At 51.2% G+C, this 17265-nt stretch overlaps 1 protein-coding gene across 3 annotated transcripts, besides 2 other annotated features; it reads right to left on the reverse strand.

Annotated features, from left to right (window-relative positions):
* ARL5C (ARF like GTPase 5C) lies at nucleotides 1968–11397 on the reverse strand. 3 transcript variants are annotated; one of them, XM_047435964.1, is made up of 6 exons: nucleotides 10951–11397; nucleotides 10315–10375; nucleotides 7947–8094; nucleotides 6504–6587; nucleotides 5683–5978; nucleotides 1968–2031 (listed from the first exon to the last, which is right to left on the reverse strand). In XM_047435964.1, exons 1-5 carry the CDS (start codon nucleotides 10994–10996, stop codon nucleotides 5787–5789), a joined length of 531 nt encoding a protein of 176 aa, XP_047291920.1. In that variant the 5' UTR covers nucleotides 10997–11397; the 3' UTR covers nucleotides 1968–2031; nucleotides 5683–5786. The 3 variants fall into 3 exon arrangements, with proteins under 3 accessions (XP_047291920.1, NP_001137440.1, XP_047291919.1); NM_001143968.1 differs by lacking the exon at nucleotides 1968–2031 and adding an exon at nucleotides 2130–2178 and having other exon boundaries at nucleotides 5827–5978; XM_047435963.1 differs by lacking the exon at nucleotides 1968–2031 and having other exon boundaries at nucleotides 5604–5978; nucleotides 8394–11397.
* Nucleotides 10224–11025: an enhancer, noted in NCBI's record as "H3K4me1 hESC enhancer chr17:37321241-37322042 (GRCh37/hg19 assembly coordinates)". NCBI's record gives its function as "activates a minimal SCP1, AML or CMV promoter by ChIP-STARR-seq in primed H9 embryonic stem cells {active_cell/tissue: H9 hESC(primed)}" and the evidence as "EXISTENCE:reporter gene assay evidence [ECO:0000049][PMID:30033119]".
* Nucleotides 11026–11827: an enhancer, noted in NCBI's record as "H3K4me1 hESC enhancer chr17:37322043-37322844 (GRCh37/hg19 assembly coordinates)". NCBI's record gives its function as "activates a minimal SCP1, AML or CMV promoter by ChIP-STARR-seq in primed H9 embryonic stem cells {active_cell/tissue: H9 hESC(primed)}" and the evidence as "EXISTENCE:reporter gene assay evidence [ECO:0000049][PMID:30033119]".

Below are 17265 nucleotides of genomic sequence, written 5' to 3' on the forward strand. Positions count from 1 at the left end.
CGAGAGCGGTGGCTCACGCCTGTAATCCCAGCACTTTGGGAGGCCGAGGCGGGTGGATCACAAGGTCAGGACATCGAGACCTCCTGGCTAACACAGTGAAACCCCGTCTCTACTAAAAATACAAAAATTAGCCGGGTGTGGTGGCGGGCGCCTGTAGTCCCAGCTACTCGGGAGGCTGAGGCAGGAGAATGGCGTGAACCCTGGAGGCGGAGCTTGCAGTGAGCCGAGATCGCGCCACTGCACTCCAGCCTGGGCAACAGAGCGAGACTCTGTCTCAAAAAAAAAGGAATATTGGGTCCTCTATATCCGTGCCTAGACTCTCCCCCAAATGTCCACTGACTGGCTTGAGAAAAGGACTGTCCCCAGGACCGCCCCAGGTCCAGGGATGTACAGATGAACAGACTGGATCTCCATCTTGTCTCCTGGGCTTTTCCAACCCCAGGGTCGCTCCTCCCCTTCTCTCAAACCAAAAGCCAGTTTGAGGAACAGACAGAGGAGAAGGCTGAAATAAGAGGTAAGCATTTTTCAATAGCATTTACTACAGCCTTATAAAAATCCTAATACAGTATTTTTTTTAAAATCCTGGCCGGGCGCGGTGGCTCGCGCCTGTAATCCCAGCACTTTGGGAGGCCGAGGCGGGCGGATCACGAGGTCAGGAGATCGAGACCATCCTGGCCAACATGGTGAAACCCCATCTCTACTAAAAATACAAAAAAATTAGCAGGGCGTGGTGGTGCGCGCTTATAGTCCCAGCTACTCGAGAGGCTGGGGCAGGACAATCGCTTGAACCCGGGAAGCGGAGGTTGCAGTGAGCCGAGATCGCGCCACTACTGCTCTCCAGCCTGGGCGGTAGAGCGAGACTCCAACAATAACAACAACAACAAAAATCATTACACAAAGACAAACAAGCAGCCCCTTTAGGAATCTGGTATATTTGGGAGGAGTGGGATTCAAATTGGAAGGACACTAGAAGTAAAGGGGATGCTGTGGGGTGGCTTAAAGTCCAAGAGCTGTGGTCAGAGTCAGCATCTCAGAGGGAATGGGAAGACGAGGAGAAGTGGAATCCCTGCAGTGCAAAGGGCTGTCCCTATCTGGGACGTCCTGTCCTCCTCCATTTCCCCTTCCAGTTTTTGCCTCTGCCCTCCTCCCCTTGAGCCCACCTTCTTCACCTTGCTAGAATCTCCTTTGCCCAAAGGGAATGGGACAAAAATGGCTGAGGGGCTAAAAAGCCTGAGGGTGGAAGGAGGTTTGAGGAAATGAAGAGCAATTCCAGGGTTTTTTGTTTTTGTTTTTGTTTTTTTTTGAGTCGGAGTCTCTCTCTGTCGCCCAGGCTGGAGTACAGTGACCCGATCTCAACTCACTGCAACCTCCGCCTCCCAGGTTCAAAGGATTCTCCTGTCTCAGCCTCCCGAGTAGCTAGGATTACAGACGCCCGCCACCACGTCCGGCTAATTTTTGTATTTTGCTTTGTTTTGTTTGAGACGGTGTCTCGCTCTGTCACCCAAGCTGGAGTGCAATGGCACAATCTCGGCTCACTGCAACCTCCACCTCCCGGGTTCAAGCAATTCTTCTGCCTCAGCCACCCGAGTAGCTGGGACTACAGGCGTGCACCACCACCAAGCTAATTTTTATATTTTTAGTAGAGACAGGGTTTCACCGTGTTAGCCATGCTGGTCTCCAACTCCTGACCTCAAGTGATCCTCTTGCCTCAGCCTCCCAAAGTGCTGGATTATAGGCGTAAACCACCGCGCCCAGCCTCAGGGGTCTCTTAATCTGCCCCCCCAACACACACACACATTATTCCTACGGAGAGACTGAGGGCTGAGGAGAGGGAGAGAGTTCCACTCACTAAATCTGCAACATATCCAACATTTCCCTGACGTCTCCAAGAAGGATGCCTGCGGCCATGGAGTGAGGAGCAGCTTCTTCTGCTGTGCTGTCTGCAGGAATCCAAGGTATGCAGTCCAGCTTCTCAGCAACGGGTTGGGAGAATGGTGTCAATCTCACTGTCCATAGCAGCCACTGCTCCCACTAGAGAACCATAGAAAAGTAATAAATAGCCACTTGATTTTCCACCCATGTTGACCATGCAAAACCCCAAAGTTTCTGGTTGACCTCAGACTGGAACATCAGTTAGCAGCGGCCTGAGATTCCATCCACTGAAGTCTGGCAGGCAGCCTGCAGGGAGGAAGGAACAGGAGGGGTCAGCCTAACCCAAGAGAATGATGGCCTTCAAGTCTCCAGCCCTTGCCCAGATCGGACTGGGTGCAGGAACCAAAGTTACATCCAATAATTCAATTAACAGAGATGAACTGGCTTGAGTATCTGCTGTGCATCAGGTACTGTGCAAGGCTCTGGAGTTACTGGTGAAAATGCAGACATGCCCCTGAGGCTTACTGTCTAGTAGAAGAGATGGATACTAAATAAATGGTCAGACACATAATTCTGTAATTACATACTGTGATAAAGGAAATATACAGAGGCCTCTGGATGCCTGAGAGTCAGGGAGGGCTTCTCTGAGGAAGGAGCCTGGAGACTCACCTTGCTGGGCCCCTTAGCTGTGTCTCTGGGCAAGGATTCTTCACGGTGATCTGTGCCAGAAAGAGGTTCCCTACGCAAGTTCCCCCATTAGATTGTAAGCAACTCCGGCGCATGGGTGGAGTCTTGGTCATCTCTGTATCATCCTCAGCCTTGGTCTGGCACCGCACAGGGAACATGGGGGGTACTTAGAAAATGCTGATTGGGCCAGGCGCAGTGGCTCACGCCTTTAATCCCAGCACTTAGGGAGGCGGAGGCGGGTGGATCACCTGAGGTCGGGAATTCGAGACCAGCCTGACCAACATGGAGAAAGCCCGTCTCTACTAGAAATACAAAAATCAACTGGGCATGTTGGCGCATGCCTGTAATCTCAGCTACTTGGGAGGCTGAGGCAGGAGAATCCCTTGAACCCGGGAGACGGAGGTTGCAGTGAGCTGAGATCATGCTATTGCACTCCAGCCTGGGCAACAAGAGTGAAACTCCACTCAAAAAAAAAAAAAGAAAAAAGTGGCCGGGCACAGTGGCTCACGCCTGTAATCCCAGCACTTTGGGAGGCCGAGGCGGGCGGATCATGAGGTCAGGAGATCGAGACCATCCTGGCTAACACCATGAAACACCGTCTCTACTAAAAATACAAAAAAAAAAATTAACCGGGCGTGGTGGCTCACGCCTGTAATCCCGGCTACTCGGGAGGCTGAGGCAGGAGAATGGCGTGAACCTGGGAGGCAGAGCTTGCAGTGAGCCGAGATCGCGCCACTGCGCTCCAGCCTGGGCAACAGAGCAAGTGGCCGTCGAAGAAAGGGAAGGAGGGAGGGAGGGAGGGAGGGAGGAAGGAAGGAAGGAAGGAAGAGAGGGAGGAAGTGAGGGAGGGAGGGAGGGAAAGAAGGGAGGGAAAATGCTGATTGAACTGACTGTGGGTTGTGGAAGAGGGTTCTCCTGACCCAGCGGGTGGCAAGGACACTGCTAGAAACGTGTGGTCCCTTGGACTGACTTGCCTAAAGTCTCCCCTTCTTCAAAAAACACATCTGCGCCAGGCGTGGTAGCTCACTCATGTAATCCCAACACTTGGGGAGGCCAAGGCAGGAAGATCATTTGAGCTCAGGTGTTTGACACCAGCCATGGGCAACGTGGCAAAACCTTGTCTCTACAAAAATACAAAAATTACCAGGGCATGGTGGTGTGCGCCTGTAGTCCCAGCTACTAGGGAGGCTGAGGTGGGAGGATCGCTTGAGCCCAAGAGGTTGAAGCTGCAGTAAGCCATGTTTGCACAACTGTACTCCAGCCTGGGGGGTGACAGAGGGAGACCCTGCCTCAAAAAAAAAAAAAAAGATACCTGTGTGCCCAGCCTGCCATGATTCCACTTGACAGGTAAGACGAAAGGGAAGTTTTCCAGGCCTGATGTAAGGCCCTTTCTACGTGGCCCAGCTCCTTAAAATCCTCCAGGTGATTACTCAATATCTACCTGCTTAGTGTCCCTTGTCAGATAACTTACCTAAAATTGCAACATTCCCTCCACACACTTCCACTCTCCCTTTTCTTTTCTTTGTTTTTGCTTTTGGAAATGGGGGTCTGGATATGTTGCCCAGGCTGGACTCCAACTCCTGGCCCCAAGCCATCCTCCTGCCTCAGACTCTCCAGTAGCTAGAACTACAGGCATGAACCACCATGCTGGCCCAATCTCTGTTTCTTACTCTTTATTCACCTTATCATTTATCACTTGTTTTTTTTTTTTTTTTTTTTTTTTTTTGAGACAGGATCTTGCTATGTCACCCAGACTGGAGTGCAGCAACATGGTCAGAGCTCAGTGCAGCCTGGAACTCCTGGGCTCAAGTGATTTTCCTGCCTCAACCTCATGAGCAGTTAGGAATACAGGTGTGTGCCACCACATCCAGCGGTTTTTTTTTTTTTTTTTTTTTGTAAAGACAGAGTCTCGCTCTGTTGCCAAGGCTTTTCTCAAACTCCTGGCCTCAAGCCGTTTACCATTTTCTTTCTTTCTTTTTTTTTTTTTTTTGAGATGGTGCTTCGCTCTTGTTGCCCAGGCTGGAGTGCAATGGTATGATCTTGACTCACCGCAACCTCCGCCTCCTGGGTTCAAGCGCTTCTCCTGCCTCACCCTCCCAAGTACCTGGGATTACAGGCATCTGCCACCACACCCGGCTAATTTTTGTATTTTTAGTAGAGACGGGGTTCCTCCATGTTGGTCAGGCTGGTCTCGAACTCCCGACCTTGGGTGATCTGCCCGCCTTGGCCTCCCAAAGTGCTGGGATTACAGGCATGAGCCACCGCGCCCCGCCATCATTTTCTAACTGACTATATATTTTTCTTGTTTATCATCTGCCTCCCCTACCGGAAAGTAAGCTCCGTGAGGGCAGGGATTTTTGTCTGTTTTGCTCGCTGCTGTTTCTCCAGTGCCTAGAACAGTACCTGGCACAAAGGAGGTGCTCAAGAAAGATTTGTGTACTGAATGGTGTCATTTACTCTACAGAAACTCTAGGAGGTATAATGATCCTCTTCCTTACAGTTAAGAAACTGAAGTCAGAGTGAGTCAATGATTTCTGCCTGGAAGGCTTGTTCCCCAGGTCTCCCCATGGCTGTCTCCTACTCTTCACTCAGGTCTCAGCTCAAAAGTCATCTCTTAAGAGAGGCCAGCCCTGACCACCAGAACTAAATCAGACCTATCCTTCTCCCTTCCATTTCTGGTAACCAGTGGGATTCTTCACATCACTTCTCAGCACCTAAGATTATTGCGGCCAGGTGCAGTGGCTCATGCCTGTAATCCCAACACTTTGGAAGGCCGAGGCCGGTGGACCACCTGTGGTCAGGAGTTCAAGACCAGCCTGGCCAACCCCATCTTTACTAAAAATATAAAAATTAGCCAGGCGTGGTGGCGGGTACCTGTAATCCCAGCTACTCCGGAGGCTGAGGCAGGAGAATTGCTTGAACCTGGGAGGCGGAGGTTACAGTGAGCTGAGGTCATGCCATTGCACTCCAGCCTGGGCAACAAAGAGCAAAACTCTGTCTCAAAAAAAAAAAAAAAGAGAGAGAGATTATTGCATTTAGGCGGAGTGCTACCTCTTTCTCCACTAGAACAAGCCCCTGAGAGCAGGGATGCTGTCTGCTTGTGGCTTACCCACCACATCTCACCTGTGGGGAGATGCCAAATTGGCTTGGCCCAGGAGCCAACTGTGAACCAGATTCTCACAGGAGAGAGGCAGGAGAAGGGTTCTGATGGTCAGTCATCCATTGGTTCAGCCAGGCCCTAGAGATCCAGGTAGGGCAGCCACTAACCCTTCCCTGGTGAGGGCACAGCAGCCTTGTATATGCCACGAGTGGTCTTTGATGGTGCTGAGAGTAAGGAAATGGGAGATCTCCACCATCCTCATGGAGTCCTTCACGTCCTGCTTATTGGCAAATATCAGGACTGAAGCATCCTGTAGAGCCTGTGGACAGAGGAGCCCAGCCCCAGTCAGCCTGCTAGTGCCCAGCCTTCCTTCCTACTGCCTCACAGGCGCTCTCTGGCTCCCTCTCCAGCTGTCCCAGGAAGAGAGGCCCATGCCTGGATGGGGCAGAGATGGGGGCCCTGCCACAATGGTAGCAACCGTATCAAATAACATCAGCAGCTCAAGGAAAGCCTCTTTATGACAATCCCATAGGTGGGAATTGATGATCCTCCTCATTTTATACTTGGGGAAACTGAGGATTAGAGAGGTGAAGTCACTTGTCCAAAGTCCTACAGTGAATGAAAGATGGAGTTAGAACTTGAACCAGCAACTCTGGCTTCTATAGTCAATTGCACTGAGGGTACTGATGCCCTTCATCAGGCACAAACCAGCCCTCCTCATGCTGCTGGTATAGAGGCTCTCAGAAACTGGGACAGCAGGAACGAATCTCAGAGAAGCTAAGTGACCAGCCTGAGGGCACACAGCTAGTACCACTGGGCCCTCTCCCAACTGCAGGGGGCTTACCTCATGGGCCAGCATTTTATATAGCTCCTCCCGAGTGGTCAGCAGCCGATCCCGGTCCGTGCTGTCAATCACAAGGATGATAAACTGGGCAGCAGAGGGGAGCCGTGAGAGACAGGCTTTCTCTTTGGTAAATGTGTTTCCTGCCCTCTTTCTTTCCCCACTGGTCTCTGCACTGCCCAGATGTCAGCCCCAGAGAAATGAAAGCATGCAGCCTCAAGATTTCACCACCCTGCTTCCATTATAATTGTCTTTTTTTTTTTTTTTGAGGCGGAGTCTCGCTCTGTCATCCAGGCTGGAGTGCAGTGGCGCAATCTTGGTTCACTCCAACTTCTGCCTCCTTAGTTCAAGCGATTCTCCCACCTCAGCCTCCCAAGTAGCTGGGATTACAGGCGCGTGCCACCACACCCGGCTAATTTTTGTATTTTTAGTAGAGACGGGGTTTCGCCATGTTGGCCAGGATGGTCTCAAACTCCTGATCTCAGGTCATCTGCCTGCCTCAGCCTCCCAAAGTGCTGGGATTACCACCAGGTGTGCTGCCACACCTGGCCTGTAATTGTCTTTTCTATCCAGACATGGGAATAGCACACCTCTGACTGTGTGGCAGAGGCTGTGCTACATAAGCATTGGGTGTTCATGACTCCATTTAGGCCTTACCACAACGCTGTGGACTTGGTACTGTTAGTATCCCCATTTTACAAATGAAGAGACTGAGGCTCAGTGAGGCTATGTATCTTGCTCTTGACCACACAGCTGGTGAGTAGCAGTGCTGGAAATGGAACCCAGCTCTGTCTCGGTCCAGGAATTATACCACTGAATTCTACTCCTGCTGGAGTAAGAAAGTAAGGCCCCTAGAGAGAAGGGGCCTACCCATCCAGTGCATCAAACAGAAAGCTGCCAGCAGCTGCCAGGAAGTATTCAAACACGTTAACAGGCAGGCACTGCACTGTGTTGAGTATCTGACATATATGCATTACATATTGGTTTGTTATTTAATTTTCACAACAACTTAGGGAGATCATTATATATATGTATATATAAAACTTTTTTTTTGAGACAGAGTCTTGCTCTGTTGCCCAGGCTGGAGTTGCAATGGCGTGATCTCGGCTCACTGCAACCTCTGCCTCCCAGGTTCAAGCAGTTCTCCTGTCTCAGCCTCCCGAGTAGCTGGGATTACAGGTGCCTGACACCATGCCCAGCTAATTTTTGTATTTTCAGTAGAGGTGGGGTTTTGCCATGTTGGCCAGGCTGGTTTCGAACTCTTGACCTCAGGTGATCCACCCGCCTTGGACTCCCAAAGTGCTGGGATTACAGGTGTGAGCCACAGGAACCGACCATTATAATCTCTATTTCACAAGTTGGGGAACCAAGGCTCAGAAAGGTTACATGACAGTCTGATATCACACGCCTGCCTTGGAGACCCTTCAGCCCTGGTGCCCTCCTCACCTCAGTGTTGGAGTAGTATGTGTTCCAGATAAAGCTCAGAGCCTCAGGTCTCACTATGTCCCACATGAAGAAGTGGGTCTTCGGCAGAATGATCTCCTCCACGTTGCTGCCAATGGTGGGACACATATGGACCACCTCATTGGTCAAGCTGGGGAGGTAGGAGTGGGCACCAAGAGCTCAGTCCAGCCTACTCCCAACTCTGGCCCCCAAATGCTCTACTCCCAAAGCAGTCTGAATCTAACTCAGAACAAGTCCACCCAGGTTCACCAAACACCTGCTCGGAGCCAGGCCCCGTGCTGGGCCCTGGGGAATGAAGACAGGAGTGAGACTAAGCCCTGCCCTGGCTTGGACCCCAGAGAAGGGAAACATCTTAGAGGAGGCTCCTCAAACTTTATCTCTTTTTTTCTTTTTATAGAAACAGGGTCTCACTGTGTTGCCCAGGCTTACCTTGAACTCCTGACCTTGGGCTCCTGTCAAGAGATCCTCCTGCCTTGGCCTCCCAAAGTGCTGGGATTACAGGCATGAGCCACAGAGCCCAGCCTCCTCAAACTTTAATATGCAGTTGAATGACCTGAGAGTTTTGTCAAAATGCAGATTCTGACCCAGTGAGTCTGGGCAGGGGTCCAGGCTTTTGCCTTTCTTTCTTTCTTTCTTTCTTTCTTTCTTTCTTTCTTTCTTTCTTTCTCTCTTTCTTTCCTTCTCTCTCTCTCTTTCTTTCTTTCACAGAGTCTCACTCTGTCGCCCAGTCTGGAGTGTAGGTACGATCATGTCTCCCAGGTTCAAGCAATTCTCCCGCCTCGGCCTCCTGAGTAGCTGGGATTACAGGAGCACACCCCCACGCCAGGCTTATTTTTGTATTTTTGTAGAAACGGGGTTTCGCCATGTTGGCTGGGCGAGTCTCGAACTCCTGACCTCAAGTGATCCATCCACCTTGGACTCCCAAAGTGCTGGGATTACAGGCATGAGCCACCGCATCCGGCCACAGTTTTGCTTTTTTTTTTTTTTTTTCCTTGAGATGTAGTCTCTCTCTGTCGCCCAGGTTGGAGTGCAGTGGCACAATCTCAGCTCACTGCAACCTCCGCCTCCCTTTGTCGCCCAGGCTGGAGTACAGTGGCGCAGTCTCAGCTCACTGCAACCTCTGCCTCCCGGGTTCAAGTGATTCTCCTTCCTCAGCCTCCAGAGTAGGTGGGATTACAGGCATGTGCCACCACGCCCAGCTAATTTTTATATTTTTTTAGTAGAGATGGGGTTTCGCCATGTTGGCCAGGCTGGTCTCGAACTCCTGTCCTCAGGTAGATCCACCCACTTCAGCCTCTCAAAGTGCTGGGATTACAGGCGTGAGCCACCTTGCTCAGCCCTTTGTTGTTGTTGTTGTTGTTGTTGTTGTATTTTTAGTAGAGACGAGGTTTCACCATGTTGGCCAGGCTGCTCTTGAACTCCTGATCTCAGGTGATCCGCCCGCCTCGGCCTCCCAAAGTGCTGCGATTACAGGCACTTTGAGAGCAACAGCGCCCGGCCATGGTTTTGCATTCCTAATAAGCTTTCAGGTGATGCCTGTGTGACTGGTCTGTAGACCACACTTTGAGGAGCAAGAGTTTAGAAAAATGAGACAGACACAGTGAGGGACATCAGAGAGGTGCTTTGTTTAAAGTGACATAGAAAATATACACATGCTTTTATATGTAAATAATGCTTCTGAAAAGTTACGCAAAGTTACAATAGGAGGAAAACTAGGAGCCAGAGGCAAGAAGGAAACTTACTTTTCACCGTGTATTCCTCCATTGTTTGAAATTTTCCTTTATAATTTTTTAAAATCATTACATGTATTACTTTTTCATGGAAAAGCTTCTCCTAAGTAAAGTACTTTGGAGGCTGTAAAATGGGAGAGGTGCCATCCAGAGAGCGAATATCGGGGAAAGCTGCGATCGGTATTTACTCAGCACCACCCATATGTGCCAGGCTTGCTAGACCAGGAGCTACAGAGCCTCAGTGAGCCTTTGGGTTTGAAGAAGGGGAAGAAAGTTAACTGGCAGAGGGGACAGGGGTGAGAAAGGAGGGACCTGCCGCTAGAGGGAGCGAAGAGCAGGGAGGCAGTTTGGGACACTTGGCAGGCCTGGAGCTGGGTTTGGCAGGGCCCCCGGGAAGATGGAGGAAAGCAGTGGGAGCTAGGGTTGCCTGTACGGTGCAGGATTTGAATGCCAGACCGAGGAGCCGCAGTACTAGGAAGGTCCAAGCAGCGTGCCCAATCGCTCCTCCGGACTACAGAGGAGCCCGGGAACCCAGGGAAGAGCTCCAGTGATTGGTCCCCCTGCCTGTCAGTCTGGTGGGAGGCCCAGCTCTCTACCCTCCCCGCCCGAGAGTCACTTACAACCGGTAGAGAATGGTGGTCTTTCCTTCATTGTCCAGTCCCACGATGATGACCGTGTGCTCTGGAAGCGTCGGAGGAAGGGCAGCGTCAGGGCCAAACCCGAAGACCAAGGGACTGTGTGCCCCCACCAGACCTCCCAGGAAGGAGATAGCGCTCCCCGCAGGCTGGGGACCTCTGCCCACCGTACCGCGTCTGCTTCCCACCCAGCTCCGACACCTGCCCCACTCCGGGACGGTGGAAAAGACAGCTGAGCCCCCACCTCCCTTCACATTCCAGAAAAGTGTCTGAAAGGCCCGGGGCGCTTCGGGGCTTGCCAAGAGACGGTGTTTAGAGAAAGAGCATAACGCGAAGTCACAATCGCAGGAAACTCGCAGCAGCCCCCCATCCCCGCCGCTGGCTCCGTTTAGCGGGGAGAAAGGAGGGTCGCCCAGCTTTGCGTCCTGGGGCGCACCGAAGCGCCGGGACCCAAGAGGAGCAGGCAGGGACGGGGGCAGGGGAGGCCGCGGGGCAGTCGAGGAGCGCCCATATACGACCCTCGGAGCCCGAGGTCCCCCCGTGCGTCCGACCACAGATCAGAGGAGTCCCAGAAGAGGGCGAGATCAAAGCGCTCGCTTGGATGCCCTGTGCGCCCCTTACCCTGGTTCCCGAAGATGCTCATTAACTTGGCGATCAGCTGTCCCATGGCACTTCCCGGGCCGGACAGGTGCAGGAGGGCTCAGCGGCCTCAGGAGCGGAGTCGGCCCTGGTATTCGGAGCTCCGCTCCCCCGGGAGGGTCTGGCAGATTTTGCCTACGAAGTTAGGGAAGCCCCACACGTCACCAACCTGACCTGGGAACCCTCTGGGACGCTGGCCCTTCGTGGGCACTATGGACACCCCAGTGACTAAGGGCTGCCTGTCCCGGGCCCAAGAGGTGCAAGGAATATGGGGGTTCCAGGCTCCAGCCCTCCCCCTCGCCCTGCGAAAACTCCTGAGTTCTCCGGGTGGACTGCTCCACTACCGCAAATCAGGGGAGACTCAGCACTGCGCGCGGAACCGGATCCCAGCTCTCCCTCCTCTGAGTGCCATGTCTAGGGCACTAGACTGAAGCAAAACCCCAGGCGACCCACTTTCTGTACCTACCAGCTGTGTAGTACAGACAGGGCTCACCGATCCTCTCTGAGCTGGGAGAATATTCCAACCCTCCACAGATGTGCAGTTGGTTCACTAGCGTGGGTCTTGTGGGCCCACTCAAATTGCATTCCCCTGGGGAAGGGCAGGGTCTCCCCTTGATGCTTGGCAACTTCTAGGATAAATCAGTACTCCTACAATTCACGGACAAACCTACTGCCCAGGCACAGCTTCCTGATCCCCAAAAGTGGGCGCCTGAAGACAAGGATGGAGCATGAAGAGAGATCCTCCGGCTGGAGACCCTGCAGAGAGGCCCCAGATACCTGGCAGAGGAGTACATGGGCCAACAGAGAACCAGGAGGCCAGGCCTGAGGAGGGAATGGAAGGTGGAGTTTCCTGCTGTTGCTTGTGAATTTCTTTCTTTGCTTAAGCTGGGGGGAAAAAAACAAAAAATCAGATAACAAAAGGAGAAGTCCAAAAGGCAACGTGCCCTCAGGCTGCAGGAATGGTTAGCAGGAGATCCAGCCAACACACCAGGGAGCCAGCTCCTTCCACCCGACTGTACTGCCTTCCTGCAGCCTCCACTAAGGTAACAACCCTCCATTAAGGTAACAACTTTCTAACTGGTCTCCCTGCATCTTCCTCTCCTTTCCCAAGGCATCCTCTCCATGGCCCCTATTAACCTTCCTAAAGCACAGCTCAGGGTCTGTAACTCCCCCAGCTCATAGATCTTCAATGGCTCCCTATTGCTCACTGGATTCAGATCAGTCTCCACTTGACATTCAAGAGCTTCCACGAACAGCCCCCACCTGCCTTCACAGGTTTATCTCCCAGGCTCTGTATCTACTGGTTCCTGCCTATACATGCCTGGCTCTTTCTGATGGTGCCTTTGCTTCTGCATTTCCTCCTTGAGTGCCTTTCACCTTCTCAGAAAGGAGAATGCCTGAGACCCATTAGCTGCCCTGCCATAAAAGCCACCTGCTTCCCCAGCCCTGACTTGGTTCTCCAGCCACATGGGGCTTCTCCCTACACTGGGCTTATAGACGGGCAAGTCTGTTTCCTCCCATCAACTGTGAGTACCAGGGTGGGATTCATATATTGTTAACCAGCATATGACCTCCCCCGCCAGCCCAATCACTCCCTGCCTGGTCCAGAACCCTGCACACAGGAGGAATGTGTTGCTGTCAGACTGATGTAGAATGAGTTAAGCTACAGCCTGAGAAATGGCACTTGGAGTATTAAAAAAGGAATGTGAACACAAGTTTAAGAGGATTGAGGAAGGCTGGGAAGTTTGCGGGAAGAAGAAGGAAAATAGCTGACTAAATACAGACTTTCATCCCACCCTGCTTGGTGCCCAGAGTTAGAAGGATAGAGTTGACTGCCAGAGCCCATCTGGGCTGATTGCATTTCAGCCTTAGGAGAGAAGGAGCCAAGTCTGGGGCTGGGGGGTGGGGCACCAAGGGTGCTGAGGGAAGCAGCAGTGTCTTAAGCATTTTACCATCTGTTTCCTGGGGTTAGTGGGATGCGGGGAGGAACATCTTAGTGCATGCTGCCCTCCCCACCTCCTCTTTGCAGAATTGAAAGTAACACTCTGCAAGCTGGAAACACATTCAGTAAACAGACAAGGAGAGGGCATCTCTCTGAGCATACTCTGGCTCTGGAAGCTGCCTGATTAAAAAAAATAATAATTAAAAGAGAAAAGAAGAAAAAAAAAAGAAAAGAAAATAGAAAAACAGACGAGAAGATCTGCCTCCACTTTGAGGCCCAGGACCTGGATCTTAAGAAGCATTCATTCGTTCATTCATTCATTTGACAAATATGAGCCAGGAAATACATGAAGTAGACAAAACAGACCTAGTCCAGGTGTTTATGTTTTTGTTTTGTTTTGTTTTGTTTTGTTTTTTTGAGACAGAACCTTGCTCTGTCACCCAGGCTGGAGTCCAGTGGCAGGATCGCGGCTCACTGCAGCCTCAACCTCCCAGGCTCAAGTGATCCTCCCACCTCAGCTTCCTGAGTAGCTGGGAGTAGAGGTGAAAGCCACCACTCCCAGCTATTTTTTTTTTTTTTTTTTTTTTGTAGAGATGGGCTTCGCCATTGGTCTCCAACTCCTGGACTCAAACAATCTCCCGCCTCAGCCTCCCAAAGTGCTGGGATTACAGGTATGAGCCACTGCTCCCATTCCCAGTCTGGGTCTTTATGGAGCTTGTGGTCTAGAGAGAGAGACAGATACACACACACACACCCCTCTGAGAGACAGTAGGAAGGCCTGATTTAGAAAGAAAGCAAGGCACCCTTCTCTGAAGAAAATGAGAGGTGAACCTAGCTGGACTTCCTGGGTCGAGCGGGGACTTGGAGAACTTTTCTGTCTTACAAGAGGATTGTAAAACGCACCAATCAGCGCTCTGTAGCTAGCAAGAGGATTGTAAAATGCACCAATCAGTGCTCTGTAAAAACGCACCAATCAGTGCTCTGTAGCTAGCAAGAGGATTGTAAAATGCACCAATCAGTGCTCTGGAAAATGCACCAATCAGCACTCTGTAAAACGCACCAATCAGCAGGATCCTAAAAGTAGCCAATCACAGGGAGGATTGAAAAAAAGGGCACTCTGGCAGGGTGCAGTGGCTCGGGCCTGTAATCCCAGCACTTTGGGAGGCCGAGGGGGGCAGATCACGAGGTCAGGAGTTCGAGACCAGCCTGACCAACATGGTGAAACCCCATCTCTACTAAAAATGCAAAAATTAGCTGGGCGTGGTAGTGCCCACCTGTAATCCCAGCTACTCAGGAGGCTGAGGCAGGAGAATTGCTTGAACCCGGGAGGCAGAGGTTGCAGTGAGCCGAGATCGCGCCATTGCACTCCAGCCTGGGCAACACAGTGGGACTCCATCTCAAAAAAAAAAAAAAAAAAAAAAAAAAGAAAGAAAAGAAAAGAAAGGAAAAAAAAAGAAAAAGAAAAAAGCGCACTCCGATAGGACAGAAACAGAACATGGGCGGGGCCAATAAGGGAATAAAAGCTGGCCACCTCCCAGCCAGTAGCAGCAATGTGCTCGGGTCCCGTTCCACGCTGTGGAAGCTTTAGTTCTATTGCATTCTTTTGCTCTTTACAATAAATCTTGCTGTTGCTTAATCTTTGTGTCCGTGCCATCTTTAAGAGCTGTAACACTCACCGCGAAGGTCCGCGGCTCCATTCTTGAAGTCAGCGAGACCACGAACCCCACCAGCAGGAACCAACTCCGGACACAAAAAGATTATTGGAGCTAAGACAAAATTTTTCTCTAAGATACTGAACTGGGACAGCCCCTTGTCCCTGGACCATGGTGGCCTCAGCCTAGTTCTCTTTAGTGTAGAACAGTGGAAACCTTAAGCCACATGTAGGACCTGGGCCTCTCCCACATCACCTCATTCTGGGACAGAACCCACTGCAAAAACAGGAGCAGCTAGTCAGGGAAGGAAACAAAGGGTCCCAGGTAGCAGAAGTCCCCAGTCCCTCAGTTCCTGCCTGGTCTCAGCTGACTTCATGGTTGTCGAAATCCTCACACATGGACAACCACTAACTTGCTGATGGTGTAGCCAGAGTTAATTGAGAGCTTCTGATTACCAAGAAACAAGAATCTGCCCCCATCTCTCGCTATCTCCAAGCCAGCTAGAAATGCCTTTCCTGCAAGTTCCAGGCAAATGCAATTTCTTTTCTCTCTTTTTTTTTTTTTTTTTTAGACAGAGTCTCCCTCCATCGCCCAGGCTGTAGTGTAGTGGCTCCATCTCAGCTCACTGCAACCTCCCCCTCCTGGGTTCAAGCGATTCTCCTGCCTCAGCCTCCCAAGTAGCTGGTATTACAGGCACCCACCACCACGCCTGGCTAATTTTTGTATTTTTAGTAGAGATGAGGTTTCACCATGTTGGCCAGGCTGGTTGCGAACTCCTGACCGCAAGTGATCCACCCACCTCGACCTCCCAAAGTGCTGGGATTACAGGTATGAGCCACCGTGTCCGGGCTGCAAATGCAATTTCAGGCAGAAGGCACATGGGGCACAAATACACTCAGACACCTGCTTCCTCCTTCTCAAACCCCCAGCCCCCGCTTGCAGAAGCTGATGCATCCTGGGACAAGGGAATTAGCACTGAACTTGGGGGTCAAAGGCACCACAGAACTTGACATCTATATATCTGAGTTCAAATCCTTGCCTCATGGCTGTATAACTGTGGTCAAATAGTTTAACCTCTCTGAACTTTGTAAACTGGAGTTAATAATACCTGACATTGATTCAAAACATCAGACTCTACTCCAGACCTCTCTGTGGAGCTCCAGACCATGTACCCAGCTGTCTTTTCCTCTTCTCTCTCTTTTTTTTTTTTTTTTTTTTGAGATAGAGTCTCGCTCTGTCACCCAGGCTGGAGTGCAGTGGCGTGTTCTCAGTTACTGCAACTTCCACCTCCCGAGTTCAAGCAATTCTCCTGCCTCAGCCTTTGAGTAGCTGGGATTACAGGCGCCCACGACCACACCCAGGTAATTTTTGTATTTTCAGTAGAGATGAGGTTTCACCATGTTGCCCAGTCTGGTCTCGAATTCCTGACCTCAATTGATCTGCCCACTTGGTCCTCCCAAAGTGCTGGGATTACAGGCACAAGCCAGCACGCCCAGCCTCTGCTTCTCTTCTTGAATGTCCCACAGGCACCTCAAACCCACTTTGACCAAAGATGGACTGATCACTTCTGCCCCTAACTTCTTTGTTTTTTTTTACCTGCTTTTGCTGAGAAGACCACCATCAGCAGTCACTCCCTTTTTTTTTTTTTTTTTTTTTTTTTTAAGACAGAGTCTTGCTCTGTCACCCAGGCTGGAGTGCAGTGGTGTGATCTCAGCTCACCACAGCCTCGCCTCCTGGGTTCAAGCGATTCTCCTGCTTGGCCTCCAGAGTAGCTGGAGGCGTGTGCCACTGCACCCGGCTGATTTTTGTATTTTTAGTAGAGACAGGGTTTTGCCATGTTGGCCAAACTGGTCTTGAACCCCTGACCTCAGGTGATCCGCCCGCCTCGGCCTCCCAAAGTGCTGGGATTACAGACATGAGCCACCACACCTGGCCACCTCTCTTTCTCTCTCTTTTTTTTTTTTTTTTCTTTTTTTTTAGACGGAGTCTCCCTCTGTTACCCAGGCTGGAGTGAAGTGGTGTGACCTCAGCTCACCACAACCTCCGCCTCCCAGGTTCAAGTAAATCTCCTGCCTCACCTCCCGAGTAGCTGGGATTATAGGCGCCGCCACCACGCCTGGCTAATTTTTGTATTTTTAGTAGAGATGGGGTTTCACCATGTTGGCCAGGCTGGTCTCAAACTCCTGACCTTGTGATCCACCCACCTCGGCCTCCCAAAGTGCTGGGATTACAGGCGTGAGCCACCGTGCCCGGCCTCACCTTCCTTTCTCTTATCAGCCGCCTCCACTTGCTCTCCAAGAGCTCAAGATGCTAACATTTATTTATTAATTTAATTTCTTTATTGAGACACGGTCTCGCTCTGTCATCCAGGCTGGAGTGCAGTGGTGTGATCATAGCTCACTGCAGCCTTGACTTCCTGGGCTCAAGAGATCCACCATACCTCAGCCTCCCTATCACAGCCTCCCGAATAGCTGGGACTACACACGCAGCTAATTTTTAAAATTTTTTGTAAAAAGGTGGGTCTCACTATGTTGCATAAACTAGTCTAAAACTCCTGGGCTCAAGCATTCCTGTCCCCTTAGCCTCCCAAAGTGCTGGGATTACAGGCATAAGCCACCAAGCCCGGCCATCTAACTGCTAGATCTCTCTGGCCTCTTTGCCTCCCTTCCAGTCCCACTGCTGTGGCGTAAGGCAAACCCTCCT

This window comes from Homo sapiens, chromosome 17, assembly GCF_000001405.40.
Source record: "Homo sapiens chromosome 17, GRCh38.p14 Primary Assembly".
NCBI lineage: Eukaryota > Metazoa > Chordata > Mammalia > Primates > Hominidae > Homo > Homo sapiens.